Here is a 22,646-nt window from a genome sequence, read left to right on the forward strand (position 1 = left end):
ATTTAAAAGGAACTGTACAAGAATGTAAGTTTAAATAAGCTTGGAATGTCAGGGGAGGTGGCAGAGCAGGAAGCACCAGGGATCTGTCTCTTGAGAGAGACAGTGATTGTACTGGCAGAATCTGTCTGATAAAACTATTTGGGAATTCTATACTCCACTCAAAGGCTTGCAGTTTCCAGGGGAAGGTGTGGTTAATTTTGATCAATTTCAGCCTAGTGCAGCAGCAACTATGCATCGTCCCACCCCCAGCTCTGTGGCAGGCAGCTGTGTTAGGGTACCTAGAGTGGCTTTTAGGATATGGAGTGGGCAATAAGGACTTTGTTCTCCAAATGTTGGGGATCTGTGTTGTAATCATGACTGGTGCTTCTGGTTACAGAGAAGCAGACACAGAGGCAGGCAGCCACTGTTGCAACTCCCACTGCCATTGTTTAATACCACTCCAGCCAAAGTGGCTACCAGCGGATTTAAAGAGATGTTAAAAGACAAAAACTACAGAGTTAAAGATCCAATTGGCTTATACTTGTGACTCTAGAATCAGGAAGCATTTCATTCTACAAAATAGAATAAATGCTCTGGTGAGCTGAGCAGAGAGACTTGGCTTTATAAGGAGAAAAGGGCTGAAAGCAAAAACAAGGAATAACAAGCAGACTGGGCCAGGCATGGTGACTCATGCCTGTCCTCCCAGCACTCTGGGAGTCCGACACAGGTGGACCATTTGAGGCCAGGAGTTTGAGACCAGCCTGACCAATGTAGCGTAACCCCATCTCTACTAAAAATACAAAAATGCACACACCTGTCATCCTAGTTACTTGGGAGGCTAAGGCACAAGAATCACTTGAACCCAGGACGTGGAGGTTGCAGTAAACCAAAACCACACCACTGCACTATAGCCTGGGTGACAGGGTGAGACTCTGTCTCAAACAAAAACAAAAACAAAAAACAAACAAACGAACAAAAAAGCATACTGGTTACTTTGATAGAGGCAGAAAGCAGAGAAACTCTAGGAAAACAAGGGCAGGTCCCCAGTGAAACTCCACCTTCAAGACGAAAAGCCTGAAACCTGTGGCGCAAAGTGAGAACTTCTGTACCCATTTGCCTGCTCTCTCCTGATTCGTTCTTTCTAAATAGTGTCTTTTTACCAACTGAATGTTGCCTTTTACAGAACTACATATGGCCCACCCTGCCCCCCATCCTGTGGCTATAAAGACCCCAGATTCAGTCAGTAAGGAGAAAAAATGGCTGGATGTCAGGGAGAGGTGACTTGACTTCAGAGAAGCAGCTGGACATCGAAGAGTCAACTTGACTTCTGAGGAGAGAAGTAGAAAGTCAACTTGACTTCAGGGGAGAGTGACCTGCCCTTCCCATCTGCTTTCCAGCTCCCTTCTCTACTGAGAGCCACTTTCATTGCTCAGTAAAAATCTTCGCATTCACCAGCCTTCAGTTGTCCACGTGACCTCACTTTTCTTGGGTACTGGACAAGAGTTCGGGACCCACCAAGTGCAGTACCCAAAAAGGCTCACACTAGCCCTTTGCTCTCACTGGTGGAGGGCCGCCACCCCATGCAATGAGGCAAAGGGACCACTGAGCTGATAGCACTCTGCTGTCCTCAGATGGTGAAGCTAAGAGAGCACTGTAACATACCCTCTGGGGTTTTGGGGTCACAGGCACCCCCATCTGGATGCTGCTGCAGGCCTGCCTGGAGTTTGCTCCTGCCAGCGCCAAAGCAGCCAGCCAGTTCCTACACTCATTCGCTCATGTGCTCCCTCCCACAAGGAGTTGAGTGTGGAAGCCTGAGTAAATGGGGCACCCCTGTTGCAAGTCCTGCAAAGGGGTCAAGGAAAAATCCTGCATCAATTTCCAGATGATTTTCCTTACAGGGTTTAGAAGGAACTTTCTTATTATGCTGGCTCAGTACAACTAATTGCTCTGAATCTTCTGTTTCTTGGGAAAATGGCCTTTTTCAAAGTTCAGTTTGATTATGTGGCACTTAGCATGAGTGAGTCCATTTAGGTTTGGCCGGGTCTGCTGGGAACTAGAGCAGAAGCTTAGTCCAAATAATGGCCTTCCATAAATTTTCTTTGACAAAGACAATGCCTTTTTTTTCTCATTTATTTCCCCCTTTTTCTACCTTTGGAGGCCAGGCATTTAAGATTGGACATTCAAAAGCAACTGCATATTTGTGGGAATATAGAAACTCACTAAACATGCCTGAGACATAGGCTCAGAAAAGATGTGAGAAGACCTTCAGTTTACATCTCAGGCTGATCTCACACAGAGGGTAATACCCCACTGAAAAAAAAAATTTAAAAACAGCCAACAAAAACAAACAGAAGAAAAGCAAAAAGGAGAAAAATCTGTTTTCCAGAGTTACCAAATTATAAAATCCAAATATGCAGTTTTTAATGAAAACATTAAAAGACACAAAAAGAAACTAGAAAGTGTTGCCTATTCAAAGGTAAAACAAATAGACTGAAACCATCCCTGAGGAAGTTCAGATGGTGGACTTACCAGAAAAACACTTTAATAAAACAGCTGTCTTAAAGATGCTCAAAGAGCTAAAGGAAGATGTGGACAAAGTCAGAAATATGTATGGAATATCAATGAAGAGACAAAAATCAAAGCAGAACAAAAAAGAAATTCTGCAACTGAAAATTATAACTCAAATAGAAAATTCACTAGATGAATTTAAAGGCAGACTAGAGCAGGCAGAAGAAAGAATCAACAAACTTGAATGTAGGAGAATTGAATTATTGCCTCTGAGGAAAAGTAAGAAAAAAACGGAAGAAAAGTGAACAGAGCCCAAGGAACTTGAGGAAATACATCAGGTGGACAAGCATATGCATTGTGGAAATTACAGAAATAGAAGAGAGAAACAGAGAAAGGCGGAGAGAGATTATTTCAAGAAATAATGGCCAAAAACTTTGATGTTGTATGTGAATCCACAAATCTAAAAAGTTCAACTAACTCCAAGTAAGATAAACTCAGAGACCTATACAAAAATGCATTATAATCTGTCAAAAGCCAAAGATAAAAAAAATCTCAAAAGCATCAAAAAATAAATAATTCATCCAATACAAGTAATTCTCAATAAAATGACCAACAGATTTGTCATCAGAAAACCTTGGAAACCGAAGGTAGTGGGTTGGTACATTCAAAGTGTTGAAAGAAAAATAAGTGTCAACAAGAATTCCACGTCAGGCAAAACTGTCCTTCAAAAATGAGGGAGAAATTAAGACATTCCCAGATAAACAAAAACTGAGGGCATTCACTACCATTAGACATGCCCTGAAATAAATGCCAAAGGTAATACTTGAGATTAAAGTGAAAGAACAAAAGACAGTAACTTGAAGCCACATAAAGAAATAAAGATCTCTGGTAAAGATAAATATCTGGTTTAATTGTAAAGCCAGTATTATTATAACTTTAGTTTGCAACACCAATTTTTATTTCCACGTGATTTAAAAGACAAAAGCATAAAAAATCATTAGTCTATGTTTTGGAGTATACGATGTATAAAGATACATTTAGTGAAATCAAAGATATAATTAGTGAAAGGTGGTGGAGCAGGAGCCATATAAGAGCAGAGTGTTTCCATGTAATTGAAGTTAAAAAGGCATAATTTCAATTTATGGCCTGCCATGGCATGAAATGGAGTACAGTGGGCAGAAAAGACATGGGAAATCTTATTTAATCAGTATGACAAACAATAAGTAGATTGGCAGCTTTGAAAAAGATAAGCTTGGTGTCTTGAACTTTCAACCAAGGCATGGGTTGAAATCAGAAAGCTTCTATCATGGCCTCCTAGGAACTTCTTATCTCTGCTGCTAGGCTGTAAGTGGCTGAGGGTTGGGATACCTATTCTACAAGATTCACCTCATTATCCTTCATTGTCTCCAGGCATATAAAAAGAGATAAATTCTAGGACAGATTATTTGTATGAACTTAGAATGTGTTCCCGTAGTTTGCTTAGTGTTGCCAGGGAAAAAATAGTAATTATAGAATGGAGAAATTAGACAGCACCTTGAACAAGGGAACAAAATAAATGTTGTCAATGACGGGCAAATAGACATTTTATGCCTTCAGATATGATACCCTAAGAAGGACATATCAAATATGTGGTATTCCAGCCAGGAATACACAAATGAATCTAAAAATGAGGAAGGATTGAACACGCCCAGAATGAAGAACGTTCTATTTAAAAGAAAATGAAGTCAAACTACATTCTTCAAAAATATCGAAGTCATAAAAGACAAAAAAAAAAAGAGGCTGTGGAAAAAACACTAAAGGAAAAGTGAATGTAACACCTGATCCACAACTGGACTCCACTAGAGGAGGAAATGCTGTAAAAGACATTATTGGTGAATTAAAATATTGGAATAGAGATGGTAGATGGGTGAAACTATTTTATTAAGGTTAAATTTACTGACATTGATAATTACATTGTGGCTATGTAGAAGAATATCCACTTCCAGCTGGGCGCAGTAGTTCATGCTTGTAATTCCAGCACTTTAGGAGGCTGAGGGGGGTGGGTCACTTGAGGCCAGGAGTTTGACACCAACCTGGCCAACATGGTGAAACCCCATCTTGATAAAATACAATAATTAGCTGGGTGTGGTGGTGGGTGTGTGTACTCCCAGCTATTTGGGAGGCTGAGGCAGAAAAATCACATTAACCTGGGAGGTGGAGGTTGCAGTGAGCCAAGATCATGGCACTGTACTCCAGCCTGGGTGACAGAGCAAGATTCTGTCTCAAAAAAAAAAAAATTTTATATATATATATATATACACACACACACATAAATATATATCCATTTTCTTATAAAATATACTGTGAAATGTCTAGGAGTAAAGAGCTATGATGTATAAAATTTATTCTCAAATTTTTCAGTATAAATATTATACATACATACGTATTTATGGAGAGAGAGTGAGCATCTGCACAAATAATAAAGCAAATGAAATTAAAAGGTAATAATAAGTGAATCCAGGTAAAGGATATGTATTTGTTTGTTTGCTAGGAATGCCATAACAAAATTCTATGAACTAGGCGGCTTAAACAATAGAAATTTTTTGTCTCTGTTCTGCAGGGTGGAAGTCTGAGATCAAGTCATTGGCAGGGAAGGTTCCTTCTGAAGGCTGTGGGAGAGAATCTGTTCATGCTTCTTTCCTAGATTCTAGGTGATTTGCTAGCAGTCTTTGGGGTTCCTTGACTTATAGACATGTCACATTGATCTCTGCCTTTATGTTCACAGGGCATTCTCCCTGTCTCTGTGTCCAAATTTCCCCTTTGAAAAAGGACACATCAGATTAGGGCCCACACTAATGACTTCAAGTCAAACATCTGTTTAATTCTGTAAAAACCCTATTTCCAAATAAGGTTACATTCTGAGATACTATGGGTTTAGATTTCAACCTGTCTGCTTTGAGGGGGACATGATTAAATTCATAGCAAGTATATAAATAATTTTTATACAATTTTTATTCATGTAGATTTTCTGTAAGTTTGAAATTATTTCCAAGTAAAAAAAAATTTTTTTTAAAAAGGAAAAGAAATTCCTGTATAGCCCAGAAAGCGAAGTATAAAACCTATTCCAGGAAGAGGTACAGGGTATGCCAAATGAGTTGCAGGATTCTGCTAATTTGTATTAACAGGACCCTTGGAATTGACAATAAGGATATTGATCAAATGGGACAAATTATAAAATTAGGGCCAAATTTATCAATATGAGCGCATTTTCCAGGAATTCCAGATTCAGTATGTCCAGTAGCAATCTAGGAACTGTTTTTTGTTTGTTTGAGACAAGGTCTTGCTCTATTACCCAGGCTAGAGTGCAGTTGCATGATTATAGCTCACTGCAACCTTGAACTCCCGGGCAATCCTCCTCCCTCAGCCTCCCAAGTAACTGGGCTTACAAGTGCATGCTACTGCATCTAGCTAATTTTAAAATTGTTTTTGTAGAGATGGGTCTTGCTATGTTGCCCAGGCTGCTTTCAAACTCTTGGTCTGAAGCAAACCTTCCACTTTGGCCTCCCAAAGTGCTGACATTATAGGCATGAGACACCATACCCAGGCATGAAACTGCTTTTCAAATGGTCATGCTTTTGTTCTCAAACTCTATGGGCTTACACTGTGATTCTCCTATTAGACCTTTTCAGAGGTTCCACACAGCACCCCTACTTGTCACAAACACTATGAATTCTATTGAATGTGTTAGAATAATTGCAGATCTCTCTCTTGCTTCGATCCTGAGATGAGTGTTGAGTACCAAATGGCTCCAAGCCAGGCTGAAACATGACCTAGACACAGATGCTGGAATTTTCCTAGCATGCTTTAGAGAAACGAGTATGGTGGCTGTACTAGTCAGTTCTCACACTGCTATAAAGAAATGCCCAAGACTGGGTAATTTATAAAAGAAGTTTAATTGACTCACAGCTCAACATGCCTGGGGAGGCCTCAGGAAACTTACATTCATGGCGGAAGGGGAAGCAGGCATGTCTTACAAGGTGGCAGGAGAGAGAGAGCAAGCATGAGCGCAAGAGGAACTGTCAAACACCTATAAAACCATCAGATGTGGTGAGAACATACTCATCATGAGAACAGCATGGGGGAAACTGCCCCCCATGATCCAATCATCTCCTGCCAGGTCCCTCCCTTGACACACAGGGATTATGGGAATCACAATTTGAGATGAGGTTTGGGTGGGGAAACAGAGCCGAACCATATCCCTGGCTTAATGAGATGGGAATGCTGGAGGGAATTCATTATCTGCAGTCTGCTCAGCCAACCCCTACCATACACACCAGGAGGGCCCAGAAATGTATTACTGAAGGAAGCATCAACATCCATAAAAATTTTTGTGTTGGCTATCCTCTGTGGGCCAGAGATGCTGGCATGAGATACCGCCATAGAATTGGGCTTCCTGATTTCAATGGGAATAATGGGATTCTTGCATAGTAGAAGTCACATGGCAGCACTTGACCATCAGAGGCAATAACCCTAATAGGTCACAGGGATACAGTGGCAACTAGAGCATTTTGGCTCTCAGAGTTGGTAGCAGTAGCTAATGGATCATAAAGGTCCTACAAAAGCAACAGATGGGCAGCCTACAGATGTATGACTTGATTTATAACATCAGAGAAAGTCAAAGCCAAATGATCAGAAATCTGACTTGAGTGACCATCGTAGGAAGAACCCAATTCCCAGACTGCAGCCAGTTCATACACCCAGAGTTCCTTAGCTGAGGTGGAGGCCAGATCCCTTTTAGGAAAGACTCTGCAACTTGATCACAATTTCATACCATACATCATCCTCAAAACCTTCCACAGAGGGACCTCCAGCCATTTAACAGGGTGACTGGCCATTAAAGGAATGGAAAACCCAGGCCTCCTCGTGTTATTAGACACTGACTCTGAATTAATATTGACCACATTAGTCTACTGGTCAGGTGATAAGTGTGTTTTGGTCCAAGCCCATCTCACAGTGGGTCCGATGATGCTCACAGGAAATGATCCTGTGATTATTTCCCCATAGACACATTTCACAACTAGCAAAAAGAATCCTCGCATCCATTCCCTGACTAATAAAATAGGAGCTTGTATTAGTCTGTTTTTACACTGCTATAAAGAACTGCCCGAGAGTGGGTAACTTATAAAAGAAAGAGGTTTAATTGACTCACAGTTCAGCATGGCTGGGGAGCCCTCAAGAAACGTGTAATCATGGTAGAAGGTGAAGAGGAAGCAAGGCACCCTCTTCACAGGGCAGCAAGAGAGAGAATGAACACAGGAGGAACTACCAAACACTTATAAAACCATCAGATCTTGCGAGAACTCACTCACAATCAGGAGAACAGCATGGGGAAACAGCTCCCATGATTCAATTACCTCCATCTGGTCTCTCCCTTGACACGTGGGCATTATGGGGATTACAATTAAAGATGAGATTTTGGGCACGGACACAGCCAAACCATGTGAGAGCTATTATATAGGAAGGGTAGAACTATTATGTAAGAAGAGTAGAAACACTGTTGCCAAAATAGTAAACCAAAAGCAACACTGTATCCTCAAGGGGAATTGCAGAGATTAATGCCACCATCAGATCCCTGAAAGATGGGTGGTAAATGGCTCCCATGATATCTCAGTTAACACACCAGAGCATTCATCTTGAAAAAACTAGATGGATCTTGGAGAACAACTATGTCATAACCTTAATCAGATGGTGGTGCCAGCTGCAGATGCTGGTTTAGATGTGTATCTTCCTTTTGTAATTTTTTGCTATTTTTTTTAAGACAGGGTCTTGCTCTGTCACCCAGGCTGGAATGCAGTGGTGCAATCACAGCTCACTGCAACCTCCACCTCCCGGGCTCAAGCGATTCTCCTGCCTCAGGCTCCCAAGTAGCTGGGACTACAAGCGTGCCCCACCACGTCCAGCTAATTTTTGTATTTTTAGCAGAGACGGGGTTTTACCATATTGGCCAAGCTGGTCTCGAACTCCTGACCTCGTGATCTGCCCGCCTTGGCCTCCCAAAGTGTTGGGATTACAGGCATGAGCCACCACCCCCGGCCTATATTATTTTTTATAGAGACGGGGGTCGCCCAATGTTGCCTAGGATGGTCTCAAACTCCTGAGCTCAAGTGAGATATGTATCTTTATACTAAAACAAATTAAGACTGGGTATGGTGGCTTGTGCCTATAATCCCAGCAATTTGGGAGGCCAAGGCAGGAGGATTGCTTGAGGCCAGAAGTTTGAGACTAGCTTGGGCAACATAGCAAGACTCCCATCTCTACAAAATAAAAATTTTTAAAACTTAGCCAGGCATGGTGACACGTGCCTGAAGTCCAGGCTACTCAGGAGGCTGGTGTGGGAGGATCACTTGAGCCCAGGAGTTCGAGGCTGCAGTCAGTCATGAAAGTGCCACTGCACTTCAGCCTGGATGACAGAGTGAGACTCTGTCTCTAGAAAAATTAAAAAAAATTTTTTTTAATAAAAACAAATTAATATAGCTCCTGATACCTGGTATGTAACTTTTCCCCTAGCAAATGCCGGTTGAGTGGGGCTCAAAGCAGGATAAGCCTCTACAACTACTGTAACAGATGCGATAGAATTCAAAATGCTTGTGACAGACAGGGACGCTGTTTGGAGCCTCTGATATGGCTAACAGAAGAATCACAGTGCAAACCCAAACCATGACCATTTGAACACCAGAACCTAGACTGTTATTGGAGCCTGGTAGAGACTGAACCCCTGATCATAGACTATCAACTGACATGTGATCTCAGCTGCCCAGCATGAATTTGATATTATCTTAAATATCATTTATGACCCCACCATGAAGTTGGAACTATACTTCCGACTATACTATAGTACCAGCATTCTATTACTTAGTGGAAATACAATATTTATGAAAGGGCCTCAGCAGGTCTGAAAAGCACAAGATTTCATCAACATGGTTCAGAATGCCACGTGGCTACATCTACTGCCTCGCCACCCTTCCCTGAACTCACATCTTAGCCTCTTGGGAGCACCTGGTATACAGAAGGGTGTGCATGGTATGTGGTCATCTGGAGGCAGGCAGCCTCTGAATGACAGCCATCTTCAGTGGTAACCCTAAAACACAATGAAGGGAAATATTTCCAGTAGGTAGGACTTTGGGCAGTTCATCTGGGTGGTCCACTGTGGAAAGACATCCTGAAGTATGGCTCTCCCTTGGCAAGGGCAGTGGCTGACAGACTTGTCTGACAGGTCAGGGATGTCAAAAGAACAAAATTGGAATACTGGTGTCAAAGAGGTCTAGGAGAGGAGTAGGTGGACTCTTAAAATGGGCACAAAGAGTGAAAACAGCTGCATTCTCTGTAAAACCCCCCCAGAGGACACCTATAGCAAAGAAGCATCTCATTAATCAGGTGGAAACAGGATGACTCATCCTGTGATGTCAGTCTCTTTCACCAGCCATGTGGGGTTTGCTCAGTGGGTCCATGGAAAGAATAGCCATGGCACCAGGGATGCTATGTATGGGCTCAGCATGACTTACTTTCACCAAGGATGACATGTCTAAAACTACTATTGAGCGCCCAGTCAATGGAAGAAGCCAGAACAAGACCCTCAATATGGCACCATTCCCCAGAAGGATTGGATAGTCACTTGGTGGAAAGCTGATGACACTGGACCTTTTCCATCGCGGAGGAGGCAATGATTTGTCCTCATGGGAATTCATACTATTATAGATTCAGATAATTCTCCATCACACTTCTGCCTGTTACACCACCACTCATCCATGTACAGAACACCTTATTCATTACCACTGTGTCTTAATATGTTTTCTGTTAATCATTACCTTGTGACTTAGTTTGTTTTCTGTTGCTTATAACAGAATACCAGAAACTGGGTGATTTATAATGAACTTTATTGCTTACAGTTCTGGAGACTGGGAAGTCTGTGGTTGAGGGGGCACCTCTGGAAAGAGCCTACTTGCTGCTGGAGACTCCCTAACGGGTCCCAAGGCAGTGCAGGGCATCGCATGGTGAGGAGGCTGAGCGTGCTACCTTGAATCTCTCTGCCTCTTTTTATAAAGCCACCAGTTCAATTCCCATGATAACCCATTAATCCATTAACCAATAAATCCATGAATGGATGTATCCATTCATAAGGGCAGAGCCCTCATGTTCCAGTCACCTCTGATAGGTCTCATCTCTCAACATTGCCTAACTGAGAGCTCAGTTTCACCATGAGATTTGGAGGAGACATTCAAACCATAGCCCATTGTATCCCATACAATATCACTTCAGACCTAAGACCTCATTTTATGGCAAAAGAAATATAGCAAAGGGAACAGACTCAAGGAATTCCTTGGTCTTACCCTGTTCTCATCACCCAGAAGTAACTGGCCTGAGAGAATGGTGAGATACGGTCTCCTGGAGGCTTAATTATGGTGTCAGCTAAGCCATATCCTTTGAGGTTGGGTACCATCCTATGGAGAAGTACATGCTTTAAATCAACCAAAGGTGGAAGGAGCTAGTAGCCTCTCAAAATATACTAATAACCCACTAACAGAATGTTCCCCAATCTTGTGCTCTGAAGACTTGGAAGAAGCTCTAATTCCTAAGGGAGGAGGGTTTCCACAGGAAACATAGTCCTGGTTCTATTGAATTGGAAGTGAAACTGCCTCCTGAGCATCTGGGCTTCCTTTTGTTTGTTTGTTTCTTTGTTTGAGATGGAGTCTCGCTCTGTTGCCCAGCCTGGAGTGCAGTGGTATCATCTTGGCTCACTGCAACCTCCGCCTCCCAGGTTCAAGCGAATCTCTTGCCTCAGCCTCCCAAGTAGCTGGGACTACAAGTGTGTGCCACCATGCCCGGCTAATTTTTTGTATTTTTAGTAGAGATGGGATTTCACCGTGTTAGCCAGGATGGTCTTGATCTCCTGACCTCATGATCTGCCTGCCTTAGCCTCCCAAAGTGCTGGGATTACAGGCGTGAGCCATCATGCCCGGCTCTGGGCTTCTTATACTATGGAACTAACAGGTGCAAAAGAAAGGGGTTACTTTATTGGTCAGACAATTGATCCTGATAACTAAGGGGAAAAAGTTGCTGTTACATGAGCGATGCAGGAGGGGCTATATCTGGAACAGAGAGGATTCATGGAAGCACCTCATGTCCGTCCAGCAATAACTATCGTCTCTGGGCATCCTAGAAGTGCCTGAGACAGGGATCTGGGAGCACATGATTTATTGAGAAAGTGCTCGTCAGGAAAAACCTACAAAGTGGGGAAGAAGGGTACAGAAGAGGAAAGAGCTGAGCATGCGTGTGGTCTCAGGCAGATCCAGCCTTGGCCCCATCCACCAGGGAGGGCTTTGAAATACAAATTATGTCACACATTTGCCCCCTTTGAAGCAGGGTCACTAACCTTTTTACTATGTATCACCCCCTTGGGAGTGGCTAACTCCTCCAGGAAGCTAAGGGCAGTTCTCTACGGAAGGGAGCAGTTCTGAGCAGTTAGCAGCCAATACTGACAGCAGTAGAGAGTAGTTGTACTGCCTGGCAAAGGCGATCTGAGCAGGGCATACAATGTCTACTATAATCAATGGGAAACAGCAGTAATCCAACACAAACACATACTCTACTGGAAGGTACCAGGAGAAATAGACAGAAACTACAGAGTGGGGATAACTGATAACAGATTCCCTAAGGAAGCCAAGGGTATGGGATTAGAAGCACAGGTGAGGATTTTGGCCTTGAACAAAAGGGACTCTTTATCCCTTGAAACTAGACAGAATGAAATTTGTATAAAATTAGAGGCTTTATGTACATTTGTAGGGAAGGGCCAAGACATTTAAAATTCACCTAAATTTTATTGCTAGCCTACTATCAATAAGTGTCAGGCATGTTTTAGGGGCTGGGAAAGCCACAGCATAAAAGACAGGTCAGGTCCATGTCCTGATGGAGCTTACTGTCTGGTAAACCATCAGTTATGAAACAGCGTAAGGACTGGGGGAACGGGGAGGTAGGGGCAGAATAGGTTTCCCTGAGAAGTGTTATCTGAAATTCAATTAGCCCAACGAGACCAGCAGGGGGCAGTGTTCTAGGCAGGACAGAGGTGATATTAGCGAATAGTACACATGAATGTGTGGAAACGACAAAGAACATACTACATTGAAGAACTGAAAGCATTTCTGGGTGGAGGCTCCTAGCAAATGATGGGGCAGAGAGCTAGCTGCAAACCCCATGGAAGCACAATTATAAACCATCAAAGGGTTTTTAAGAATACATATACAGGCCAGGCGTGTTAGCTCATGCCTGTAATCCCAGCACTTCGGGAGGCTGAGGTGAGCGCATCACTTGAGGTCAGCAGTTCCAGAGCAGCCTGTCCATCATGGTGAAACTCTGTCTCTACTAAAATTCAAAAATTAGCCCGGTGTGTTGGCGCAAGGCTGTAGTCCCAGATACTCGGGAGGTTGAGCCAGAAGAATCACTTGAGCCTGGGAGGCAGAGGTTGCAGTGAGCTGAGGTCATGCCACTGCACTCCAGCCTGGGTGACAGAGCGAGACTCCCTCTCAAAAAAAAAAAAAAAAAAAAAAAAAAAAGAATACTTATCTGGGCCCATTGTGCTGGCTCATACCTGTAATCCCATCACTTTGGGAGGCCTATGCAGGAGGATTGCTTGAGCTTAGGAGTTCAAGACCAACCTAGGCAATATTATCAGACCCTATTGCTACAAAAAATTAAAAAATTAGCCAAGTGTGGTGGCACACGCCTGTAGTCCCAGCTACTTGGGAGGCTAAGCTGGGAGGATTGCTTGGGCCTGGAAGTTGAAGCTGCAGTGAGCCATGATCGTGCCACTGCACTCCAGCCTGAGTGACAGAGAAAGACACTGTTTAAAAACAACACAACGCAAAACAAAACAAAAACACATATATGACCAGATGTACAGTCTTGAAAGATAAATAGGGCTGTGGTATTCAAACTTGGAGTTTAAGGGCCGGGTGCGGTGGGTCATACCCGTAATGCCAGCAGTTTGGGATGCTGAGGAGGGTGGATGGCTTGAGGCCAGGAGTTTGAGACCAGCCTGGCCAACATGGCGAAAACTTGTCTGTACTAAAAACACAATAATTAGCCGTGTGTGGTGGCTTGTGCCTGTAATCTCAGCTACTCGGTAGGCTGAGGCACAAGAATGACTTGAACCGAGGATGAGGAGGTTGCAGTAAGCTGAGATTGCGCCACAGCACTCCAGCCTGGACGAGAGAGCAAGACTCTGTCTCAAAAAAAAAAAAAAAAATAGTGGATACAGTGGCAGGATAAGAAGGCAAAGACATGAACATATTGAATGTCTGAGCACAGGGTTTAGCATGAGTGGGAGAGGAATAAGCCCAAAGGGTGGCAGATGCACTTAGGGGAAAATGTAGGTGTCAAGGGGATAGAGGCCCATGAAGGTAAAATCAGGGAGAAGGGAAAGGAGGAAATTATTAAAAAGAACCAAGGAGAGAGTTGAGGGCAGGGAAGTTAAGAGGTTATGTGAGGAAACTTGGAGTTTGAAGATTTTGAAGTGGAAGGGGAAAAGCAATGTAGAGTTTAATTCAGATCACTGAACTGAGCTCACGGAAATTGAAGCCGGGTGCTGGATGCAGGGCATTTTATGTGACTTAGAAGTTGTCAAGGGCCGGCGTGGTGGTTCACACCTGTAATCCCAGCACTTTGGAAGGCCGAGGTGGGTGGATCACGAGGTCAGCAGTTCAAGACCAGCGTGATCAACATGGTGAAACCCCGTCTCTACTGAAAATACAAAAAAAAAATTAGCTGGGCATGGTGGCTGGCGCCTGTAATCTCAGCGACTTGGGATGCTGAGGCAGTAGAATCACTCGAAACCGGAAGGCAGAGGTTGCAGTGAGCTGAGATTGTGCCACTGCACTCTAGCCTGGACAATAAGAGCAAAACTCGTCTTTAAAAAAAAAAAAAAAAAAGTTGTCATGGAGAAGAACATGAGCTAGGCGCCTCAAGTCTCCAGTGAGTCAAGATCATGGCAAGGAGGCCAAAAGATGTAAACTCACTTGGTGTGTTACCTCCCTTCTGTACTTTGAGATGCCAGCATAACACTGTAGGAGAAATGTTTAGCTGGGGACCATTCAAAATCAAGAAGCTGACTAGAAAATAACCACAAACCTTACGTTGTATTCTGGCAAAAAGTCTAGAGGCCCTCTCAAGGTTGGCATCTAAAATACATACAGAGGCTGGGCGCAATGGCTCATGCCTGTAATCCGAGCACTTTGGGAGGCTGAAGCAGGAGGATCACTTGAGCCCAGGAGTTCAAGAACTGCCTGAGCAACATAGGGAGACTGTGTCTCTACAAAAAAATTTAAAATTAGCCAGATGTGGTGGCACACACCTGTAGTCCCAGCTACTCCACAGGCTGAGACAGGAGGATGGCTTGAGCCTGGGAGGTCAAGGCTGCAGTGATCCATGATCGAGCTGCTGCACTCACTGGCAGTCTGGATTTCAGAGCAAGACTGTGTCTCAAAAACAAACAAACAAACAAAAACAGAATTTCCTTATTTAGCCTCTAAATTTAAAATCTTAATTTACAATTGTTATTCCACAGAACACTAGGCTCAGGAACAAGTGTGGAGTTGTTTTTTTATTTTTGGTAAAGACCAAAACCAGAAAGTTTAATGACCAAATCAGTCATTTTTACCATTTGAAAATTCTTACACTTCATATATTAACATCAATGAAATAATTTTAACAATTCAAGCTAGCAATCTGCTTTTATGCTGTACACTTTATAACATAAAAATTATCCTACTCCGTTTAAATCCAATTTTCTACCATCTTCTATTCTACAAACCCAAAATAACTGTATCACTGAGTAATCCTGGCCCATAAAGTAATCATACAGTTATGCTGTTCTGTGCATAAGTAGGAGATATTAAACAGTGCTTCGAAGCCCAGCACGGTGGCTCATGCCTGTAATTTCAGCACTTTTGGGAGGCGAAGGAGGGCGGATCACCTGGGGTCGGGAGTTCCAGACCAGCCTGGCCAACATGGTGAAACCCCGTCTCTACTAAAAATACAAAAATTGGCCGGGCTAGCGCGTCGTGGTGGACGCCTGTAATCCCAGCCACTCGAGAGGCTGAGGCAAGAGAATCTCTTAGATGGAGAATCTCCTAGATGTTTTTCATCTCTTAGATGGAAAACAAATCTGGAGTTTTGGTGAAAAGGACATTGATTGTGGCTGGAGGAGATAATTATAATAATAGCGTAGTTATCTTTCTGTGGGTTTCACGTCCAGAACATTTAAAACATATAAAACCCTTGCTGGGTCAGGGTTTTAGTCATCTTTGCAGCTCCCACGGACGGCATCCACCAAAGCGCTTTCCAAGTACTTCGTTGCTCAATAAACGTTTGTTGGAGAAACCGGTGCATAAAGGTGAAATAATAAAACGTGGACGGATTTCGGAAAGAGAAGGAACCCCGGAGCTCACGCTTTGCACGATCACCCCCACCAGCCCCAGGAGTTTTCGCGTAAATCGAAGCCCGGGGAGTGAGTCGCAGGCAGCGGCCCCCGGGGAAGGTGTTTCAGGCCGGCCCGGGTGGAGAGTGCTTCCCGCCGCCTCCCCGACCCTCTGCTGTTCCTCTCAAACTTCTTCTCAACCTTCCACGCCGGGGGGACGCCCAGGGACCGCCCATTCCCCGGGACCGCCCGTCTCCCCGCCCCCGCCTCCGCCCCCGCCCCCGACAAACTGAGCAATACCCAGAGAGGATGGAAATGGCGAAGAGGCCTGGCGCCTGCCCGCTCCCGCGCATGCTCCCTGACTTCACCAAGGTCACGCTGCAGCCCGCAGGAATGAAAATCCACTTCTCCGCATTTTCGAGGTGACCTGGAAGCGGTTCAACTGCTCTGGCTTCTCAGAAGAGGAGGGGACCGGGCGGTAACGAGGAGCCAAGGGGAGGAGACTGCTCGCAAAACCCGGAAAAGCTTTCCCGATCCACTCTGCCAGCCTCCGTGCGCCTCCAGACATGCGCAGTAGCCTCCCCCGCGGTGGCGGCGGCGGCGGCGGTGGCTGCCGTGGCGGCTGAGAGTCCAGAGCCGGACGTTCCGGCCGCTTCGGGCTGGCGGCTGGAGAGCGCTCGGGTCATGTCTGCCCAGGGGGACTGCGAGTTCCTGGTGCAGCGAGCCCGGGAGTTGGTGCCGCAAGACCTGTGGGCAGCCAAGGCGTGGCTGATCACGGCCCGCAGCCTCTACCCGGCAGACTTTAACATCCAGGTGAGGTCCCGGCTGTGCATGCGGCCGCTCTGCGTGGAGGTGCGCGCTCCCGTCGCCCGGGCTGCCCTGGCCCAGAGCTGCGCCTGCCTGGGGGCTGCCGCCTCCTGCCCGGCCCCCTGCTTTCTCCCCTCCCACCCCCTCCTCTCTCCCCTCCCATCCTACACCTTGCTCCTACACCTTTCACCCGCCTTGCTCCTACACCTTCCAGGAGCCCTCTCCCCAGCACTTGAGAGACGGCCGATCCCGCTTGAGGTCGGGTGTGCTTAGGTCCCTGGGGCTCAGCGTGCCATCTGGCCTAGACAGCACATGATCGCCACTAGCAAAAGGCCATTCGCTCCTTCATTCATCATAATGGCAGCAGTTTGTTCAGGGCCTGCGACTTTGGAAATATTATCCTACTTAATCCTGGGAGCCTGAGATTGCAGGTGAACCCCAGGGTCACACTCTAAGCCCAATGGCAAGTCTGCCATGTATGTGGCGCTGTGTCACCAGGCGGAGCTTCACTCTCAGGCCCTCCCTTCCTGCAGGAGGGCCAACGAGCGATGCTGGATGAGCTGGGAGCCTTCTGGGCAGGGGTGAGTGACCAGGGTGCCTGATGTGTGTTGCAGTATGAGATGTACACCATCGAGCGGAATGCAGAGCGGACCGCCACCGCCGGGAGGCTGCTGTACGACATGTGAGTGGGACGCTTGACATCACTTTTACTGCACTGAATCTCTCCATGAGGTTTTGTTTCTCTCTGCAGAAGTGGGAGTTGGGGGAAGATCTTCAAGTTCATCTATATCTTCGATACCTAAAGCAAACCTAGTAAGGAGTCCAGGCCTGCCATAAATTGCTGACATGGCTTTTGCAGAAGAGTTTAATTATTATTCTTATGTTTTATCCTTGTTAAAACTTCTGTTTCATAATTTATTCTAGAAATAATATGTGCTCATTACAAAAATTCAAACACTACTTGTTATAGAGAACAAAAAGTGAAAGTGCATCCTAAACTGAACCAGAGTTAAGTTTTGTAGGCAGTATATCTATACATGTATGCATAATACATAAATAAGGTTTTGGGGGGAAGGGGTTACAAAAGTGAGAAGACCATACTACCTTTGCCCTGCAGCATGTTTCCTTTACTCACTCTCATGGACCCCTTCCCATATCAGTATGTAGAGATCCACTTCATTCCTTTTCATGCCTGTGTAGTATTTCGTAGACACTCTCTTCTTGGTAGACATTTAAATAGATAGTTTTAAATTATTTGAAATTATATTCAGTGTGTCAACAATTTTGTAGTCATATTTTGGTGTTTTTCTGTGGAATAGATTCTAAGACATTTTCATAGTCAAAGTTTATGCGCATTTGAAAATTTGATACGCTATGAAATTACTCTCCAAAATGTGCGATCCCAGTCTACATTACCACCAATGGTGTATAAAGAGTGTGTTTTCCCATACCCTTCCCAACACTGGATATTATTAGTCTCTTTTTAGTTCTTGTCACTGTGATAGGAGAAAATGGTATCTTGCTATTTTAAAAAAAAATTTGTACTACTCATACTGTTAATAAGATTCAGTATTGTTTCAACTGTTCTCTTTGGCTGTGTGTATTCTGTGATTTGCCTTTGCCTATTTTTTCTTTCAAATAGTTTGTTTTATTCTTGTTGACTTTTAGAAGCTCTTTCTATGTTATGGTTACTTGTCTTTTCACCTATAAAACCCACTAAAGACTTATGTGAGTACTCTCATTTTTATAAATCAAGTAATTCTTATTTTTACATTTTTATTTTGGTTTGTTTTGGCACGTCTAAGCATTCACTTGGAATAAAGGAAACTTTTTCACCAAATGCTAACGTTTTTTCTTTTGGATACTGTATAGACTTTGACATTTTAATTTAATGTATTTATTTTAAAAATAGGTTTGTGAATTTCCCAGACCAGCCGGTGGTGTGGAGAGAAATCAGCATTATTACATCAGCATTAAGGAACGATTCACAGGACAAACAAACCCAATTTTTAAGAAGTAAGAATAATGGTGTATAAGTTACCATTTCGGGAATACCAAATCATATATAGTAATTTCACACACAAAAAAGTCACACCTGGGGTATTGGTAACCATATGTATGTTTTATTCTTGGCAACCAAAGTCTATAATAATGTCACTCGGTTCCTTGACTTGCTTAGAACCCTTTAAGCTTCTTTAAAGGATATGGATTTATCAGTGAGACGAGGAATTAATTGTATATATTTTTAACAGGTTTTACAATAACCAGATAGCAGCTATAGATTAACCAGCTCTCCACAAAACAGGAGAGAAGCTTTTAGTAATTTAGAAGCTTTCTCTTTAAACTTCTGTATGTTGCTGTAGTCAATCAAAGATTTCAAACTCTAGATAAAATAGCAAGTAGATGCATAGGTCATTTGAACTTCAACAAGCACATGCTCTCTATCTCAACCTGCAACAGGCATTCTTGTGACCATTCACATACATCATTGTTTTTTGAATTTGATCAGTCTTGCAAATATTTTACCATTATTCAGCAAACATCCTGTGCCAGATACTATTGGCTCCAAAAGGCTGCCAGGTTGTAGGTGAAACTTAACTGCATTGATTTCACATGTAGTGTTTACTGTTCTGTACATGAAAATGCCTTACTCAGCACTGTTGCTGCAGTCTTTTCTGTCCGCAAGAAACTTTTAAAAGTGAAATATGTTTCGTACAGGTTTATTTGAAACTCTTCCTGGTCGGGTCCAGTGTGAAATGTTACTAAAGGTCACGGAACAATGCTTCAACACGTTAGAACGATCAGAAATGTTGCTTCTACTTTTGAGGCGCTTCCCTGAAACGGTGGTGCAGCATGGGGTGAGATTTGATTCTTCCCCTTCTTTTAATATAAAATACAATGGGTCATCAACAGATTCATCGGTATGGTGAGGAGCTACAAAGCAGAAGTTTCTGAAGAGTACTGGTTAAGATTGAACTGAAATAGAAGGTTCTTTGTTAGTAAAGCTAAAAGGACATTCTTTTCACCATATTTTGTAAGTTTCCAGGAGAAGCTGTTTTATCAGGAAAATCACCAAGCTCTGACAGTACTGTTTATTGCAATCCATATGGTAAAAAGTAATCTTTTTCCGTTGTATTCTACAATGTGCTTTTGAATTTAGCGTAGAGTTTATAGTCTTAACAGATGCGTTTTTCCTGTGCTTCTGCCCTATGGAGACTATTTTCATTCTATTCCTGCCCCTTTCCTTCATCTGTAATAATTATCGAGTGCTATTGGCAGGCATGGGAAAGTGCTAGGTATCTCCTATCTTCCTAAATCCCCTGAAGTAAATAGTATCCCACTTTACAGATGACGAAACTGAGCATTTTGTGTTTTAGTAACTTCCCATAGCCAGTGAGGTGTCAGGTTTCAAACCATTCACTCCATTCGTTCATACTCTGCGGCTTATTTCCCATGCCATTTTCTGGCGTCTGGCCCGGGTTAATCATTTCCATACCTGCTTGTGTTAGTCTCCTAGGGTTGCCATAACAAAGTACTACAAACTGGGTAGCTTAAAACAACAGAAGGACTCCCACAATTCTGGAAGCTAGAAGTCTAAAAGTCAGGTGTTGGCAGAGGCACTTTCCCTCTGAAGGTTCTGGGGAAGAATCTTTCTTTACCTCTCCCTGGCTTCTGATGGTTGTCAGCAATCTTTGGCATTCCCTGGCAGGCAGCTTCATCACTCCTCCAATTTCTGCTCCATCACCACATGATCTTCTTTCTTTTGTGCCTTTGTCTTTACATGGCCTTTTTTGTCGTTGTTTTTTGAGGCAGAGTCTTGCTCCGTTGCCCAGGCAGCAGTGCAGTGGCATGATCTTGGCTCACTGCATCCTCTGCCTCCTGGGTTCTACCAATTCTCATGCCACAGCCTCCTGAGTAGCTGGGATTACAGGTGTGTGTACATGGCCATGTTATAAGGACACTAGTCATTGGATTGAGGGCCTTTCTAATCCACCATGACCTCATCTTAATTAATTATATCTACAAAGATACTTTTTTTAAAAAAAAAGGTAAGATGTCTATGAGGTCACATTCTGAGGTTCTGCGGGGATATGAATTTGGGGGGGCACTGTTCAGCCCAGCACACTTTCTGGTCATAACTCTGACCTTTCACCTTCTGTGTGATGTAATCTTTCGCACTTTTCCACTCCTGTGGTGCATCCCTGTGTGGTCACAAGGAAGTTGATACCAGTGTCTTGGTGGATTTGAGTAAGGGACCGTCTACTATGCTAAGGCATTGGTAATGGAAAGGTAGCCTTAAAACTCTGACTTTTCTGTCCATTCTACACCAGACTGTATGACTGGCTACACCTCAGAACTTATCTTGAACGTGATACGTTTTGTCTATATTGATACATCTTCATGTAGAGAATAACCTTAGTTTCTTTATTTCTTAGAAAATCTCTCTACCTCTGTATTATCATTTGAACTCCAGTTCCATTGCTTCCTTTACATTTCTATAGACATTTTGTTAATTCTTGTTCATCGTTAATTAGAATTTGCTAATTATGAAGAGAATAACCAAGACAGAGTGGTCAGATGTTCAGGTGAATTTGGCCTTCTAGGGTGTGTGGCTGGTGCATTCTTTTATTTTCCAGTCTTTAAAATGTGATTATTTGTTTCTCAGATAAGTTTGATTATGCAAACTGTGATAAGTAAAAAAAATACCCCATTACTTCATATAGTTCTGACAACTTATGCTGTAACACATTTAAATGAGTAATTTTGTTTTGAAATAGGTTGGCCTTGGGGAGGCACTATTAGAGGCTGAAACTATTGAAGAACAAGAATCTCCAGTGAACTGCTTTAGAAAATTATTTGGTAAGGAAAATTGTATTCTCTATTACTTCTATGGTAAATTAATATGCTGGGGTAAGTGTTGGTTCAGGGATAAGCTCATATATGAAAGGCAAAGGAGCTTTATGTGTTATGGCATTTAAGTTCTTTTTTTTTTAATTTAGAAGCATTTTAGCTGGGTGCGGTGGCTCACGCCTGTAATCCTAGCACTTAAGGAGGCCAAGGTGGGTGGATCACGAGGTCAAGAGATCGAGACCATCCTGGCCAACATGGTGAAAACCTGTCTCTACTAAAAATACAAAAATTAGCTGGGCATGGTGGCGCACGCCTGTAGTCCCAGCTACTACGGAGGTTGAGGCAGGAGAGTCGCTTGAAACTGGGAGGCGGAGGTTGCAGTAAGCCGAGATCGCGCCACTGTACTCCAACCTGGTGACTGAGTGAGACTCTGTCTCAAAAAAAAAAAAAGCATTTTAAACAACTTCTAAACTTTTGTTATGTAAGATTTGATACCTCTGAAAGAATATGCATAGCTGTATATGTAAGTATGAAGCATAGTAATAAACATCTGAATTCAATGGAAGAACTGGACCCTCACCCACAGCATAAAAGTGTCTGTGTTTCCTCCCTGACTCCAGCCACTGGTGTCTCTCTGCACAGCACATTTTGAATACATGAGTCATAAGGGATTTTTCCCCCTATATATTTTAGATACTACATCAAATGAACTCTGAAAGCTTTTGTATTTATCGGAACTCTAGGGTAGACAACCTAATTAATTTATTTCTTCTTTTTCTCCTCCAACAGTTTGTGATGTCCTTCCTCTAATAATTAACAACCATGATGTTCGATTACCTGCCAATTTATTGTATAAGTACTTGAACAAAGCAGCTGAATTTTATATCAATTATGTCACTAGGTCTACTCAAATAGAAAATCAGCATCAAGGTAAGTAGGAATACCCTGTACTTTTACTTAAATAGGCTTTAGTAATATTGCAAAATTCAGAAACCCCTCAATGTTCTGATTATTCTCCTCTGGATACTTACCAGTTTGGGAGTGTTTCAAAAGA

At 43.2% G+C, this 22,646-nt stretch overlaps 1 protein-coding gene across 33 annotated transcripts in view, besides 7 other annotated features; it reads left to right on the forward strand.

The window, feature by feature from the left end:
• Nucleotides 11,611–12,189: an enhancer, noted in NCBI's record as "OCT4-NANOG hESC enhancer chr8:19670041-19670619 (GRCh37/hg19 assembly coordinates)". NCBI's record gives its function as "activates a minimal SCP1, AML or CMV promoter by ChIP-STARR-seq in naive H9 embryonic stem cells {active_cell/tissue: H9 hESC(naive)}" and the evidence as "EXISTENCE:reporter gene assay evidence [ECO:0000049][PMID:30033119]".
• Nucleotides 16,078–16,217: a silencer, noted in NCBI's record as "silent region_18969". NCBI's record gives its function as "represses an Ori minimal core promoter by ATAC-STARR-seq in GM12878 lymphoblastoid cells {active_cell/tissue: GM12878}" and the evidence as "EXISTENCE:reporter gene assay evidence [ECO:0000049][PMID:35858748]".
• Nucleotides 16,368–16,447: an enhancer, noted in NCBI's record as "active region_27059". NCBI's record gives its function as "activates an Ori minimal core promoter by ATAC-STARR-seq in GM12878 lymphoblastoid cells {active_cell/tissue: GM12878}" and the evidence as "EXISTENCE:reporter gene assay evidence [ECO:0000049][PMID:35858748]".
• Nucleotides 16,488–16,547: an enhancer, noted in NCBI's record as "active region_27060". NCBI's record gives its function as "activates an Ori minimal core promoter by ATAC-STARR-seq in GM12878 lymphoblastoid cells {active_cell/tissue: GM12878}" and the evidence as "EXISTENCE:reporter gene assay evidence [ECO:0000049][PMID:35858748]".
• The window catches only part of INTS10 (integrator complex subunit 10), a 34,652-nt gene continuing 28,502 nt past the window's right edge, over nt 16,497–22,646 (forward strand). For 17 of the 33 annotated variants that reach the window (NR_148456.2, NR_148458.2, NR_148457.2 and 14 more), the window contains exons 1-6: nt 16,497–16,747; nt 17,356–17,423; nt 18,654–18,757; nt 19,460–19,599; nt 21,520–21,601; nt 22,382–22,522. Coding sequence is in view for 17 of the 33 variants with exons in the window: in XM_047421928.1 (XP_047277884.1) it covers nt 16,619–16,747; nt 17,356–17,423; nt 18,654–18,757; nt 19,460–19,599; nt 21,520–21,601; nt 22,382–22,522 (664 nt within the window). In the remaining 16 variants the exon portion in view is untranslated. Of the gene's footprint in view, nt 16,748–17,274; nt 17,555–18,653; nt 18,758–19,459; nt 19,600–21,519; nt 21,602–22,381; nt 22,523–22,646 lie in introns of all 33 variants that reach the window. The other 16 variants (NR_148453.2, NR_148454.2, NR_148451.2 and 13 more) reach the window with 5 other exon arrangements.
• Nucleotides 16,738–16,867: a silencer, noted in NCBI's record as "silent region_18970". NCBI's record gives its function as "represses an Ori minimal core promoter by ATAC-STARR-seq in GM12878 lymphoblastoid cells {active_cell/tissue: GM12878}" and the evidence as "EXISTENCE:reporter gene assay evidence [ECO:0000049][PMID:35858748]".
• Nucleotides 17,048–17,137: an enhancer, noted in NCBI's record as "active region_27061". NCBI's record gives its function as "activates an Ori minimal core promoter by ATAC-STARR-seq in GM12878 lymphoblastoid cells {active_cell/tissue: GM12878}" and the evidence as "EXISTENCE:reporter gene assay evidence [ECO:0000049][PMID:35858748]".
• Nucleotides 17,348–17,437: an enhancer, noted in NCBI's record as "active region_27062". NCBI's record gives its function as "activates an Ori minimal core promoter by ATAC-STARR-seq in GM12878 lymphoblastoid cells {active_cell/tissue: GM12878}" and the evidence as "EXISTENCE:reporter gene assay evidence [ECO:0000049][PMID:35858748]".

Source organism: Homo sapiens, chromosome 8 (assembly GCF_000001405.40).
Source record: "Homo sapiens chromosome 8, GRCh38.p14 Primary Assembly".
NCBI classification, from domain to species: domain Eukaryota; kingdom Metazoa; phylum Chordata; class Mammalia; order Primates; family Hominidae; genus Homo; species Homo sapiens.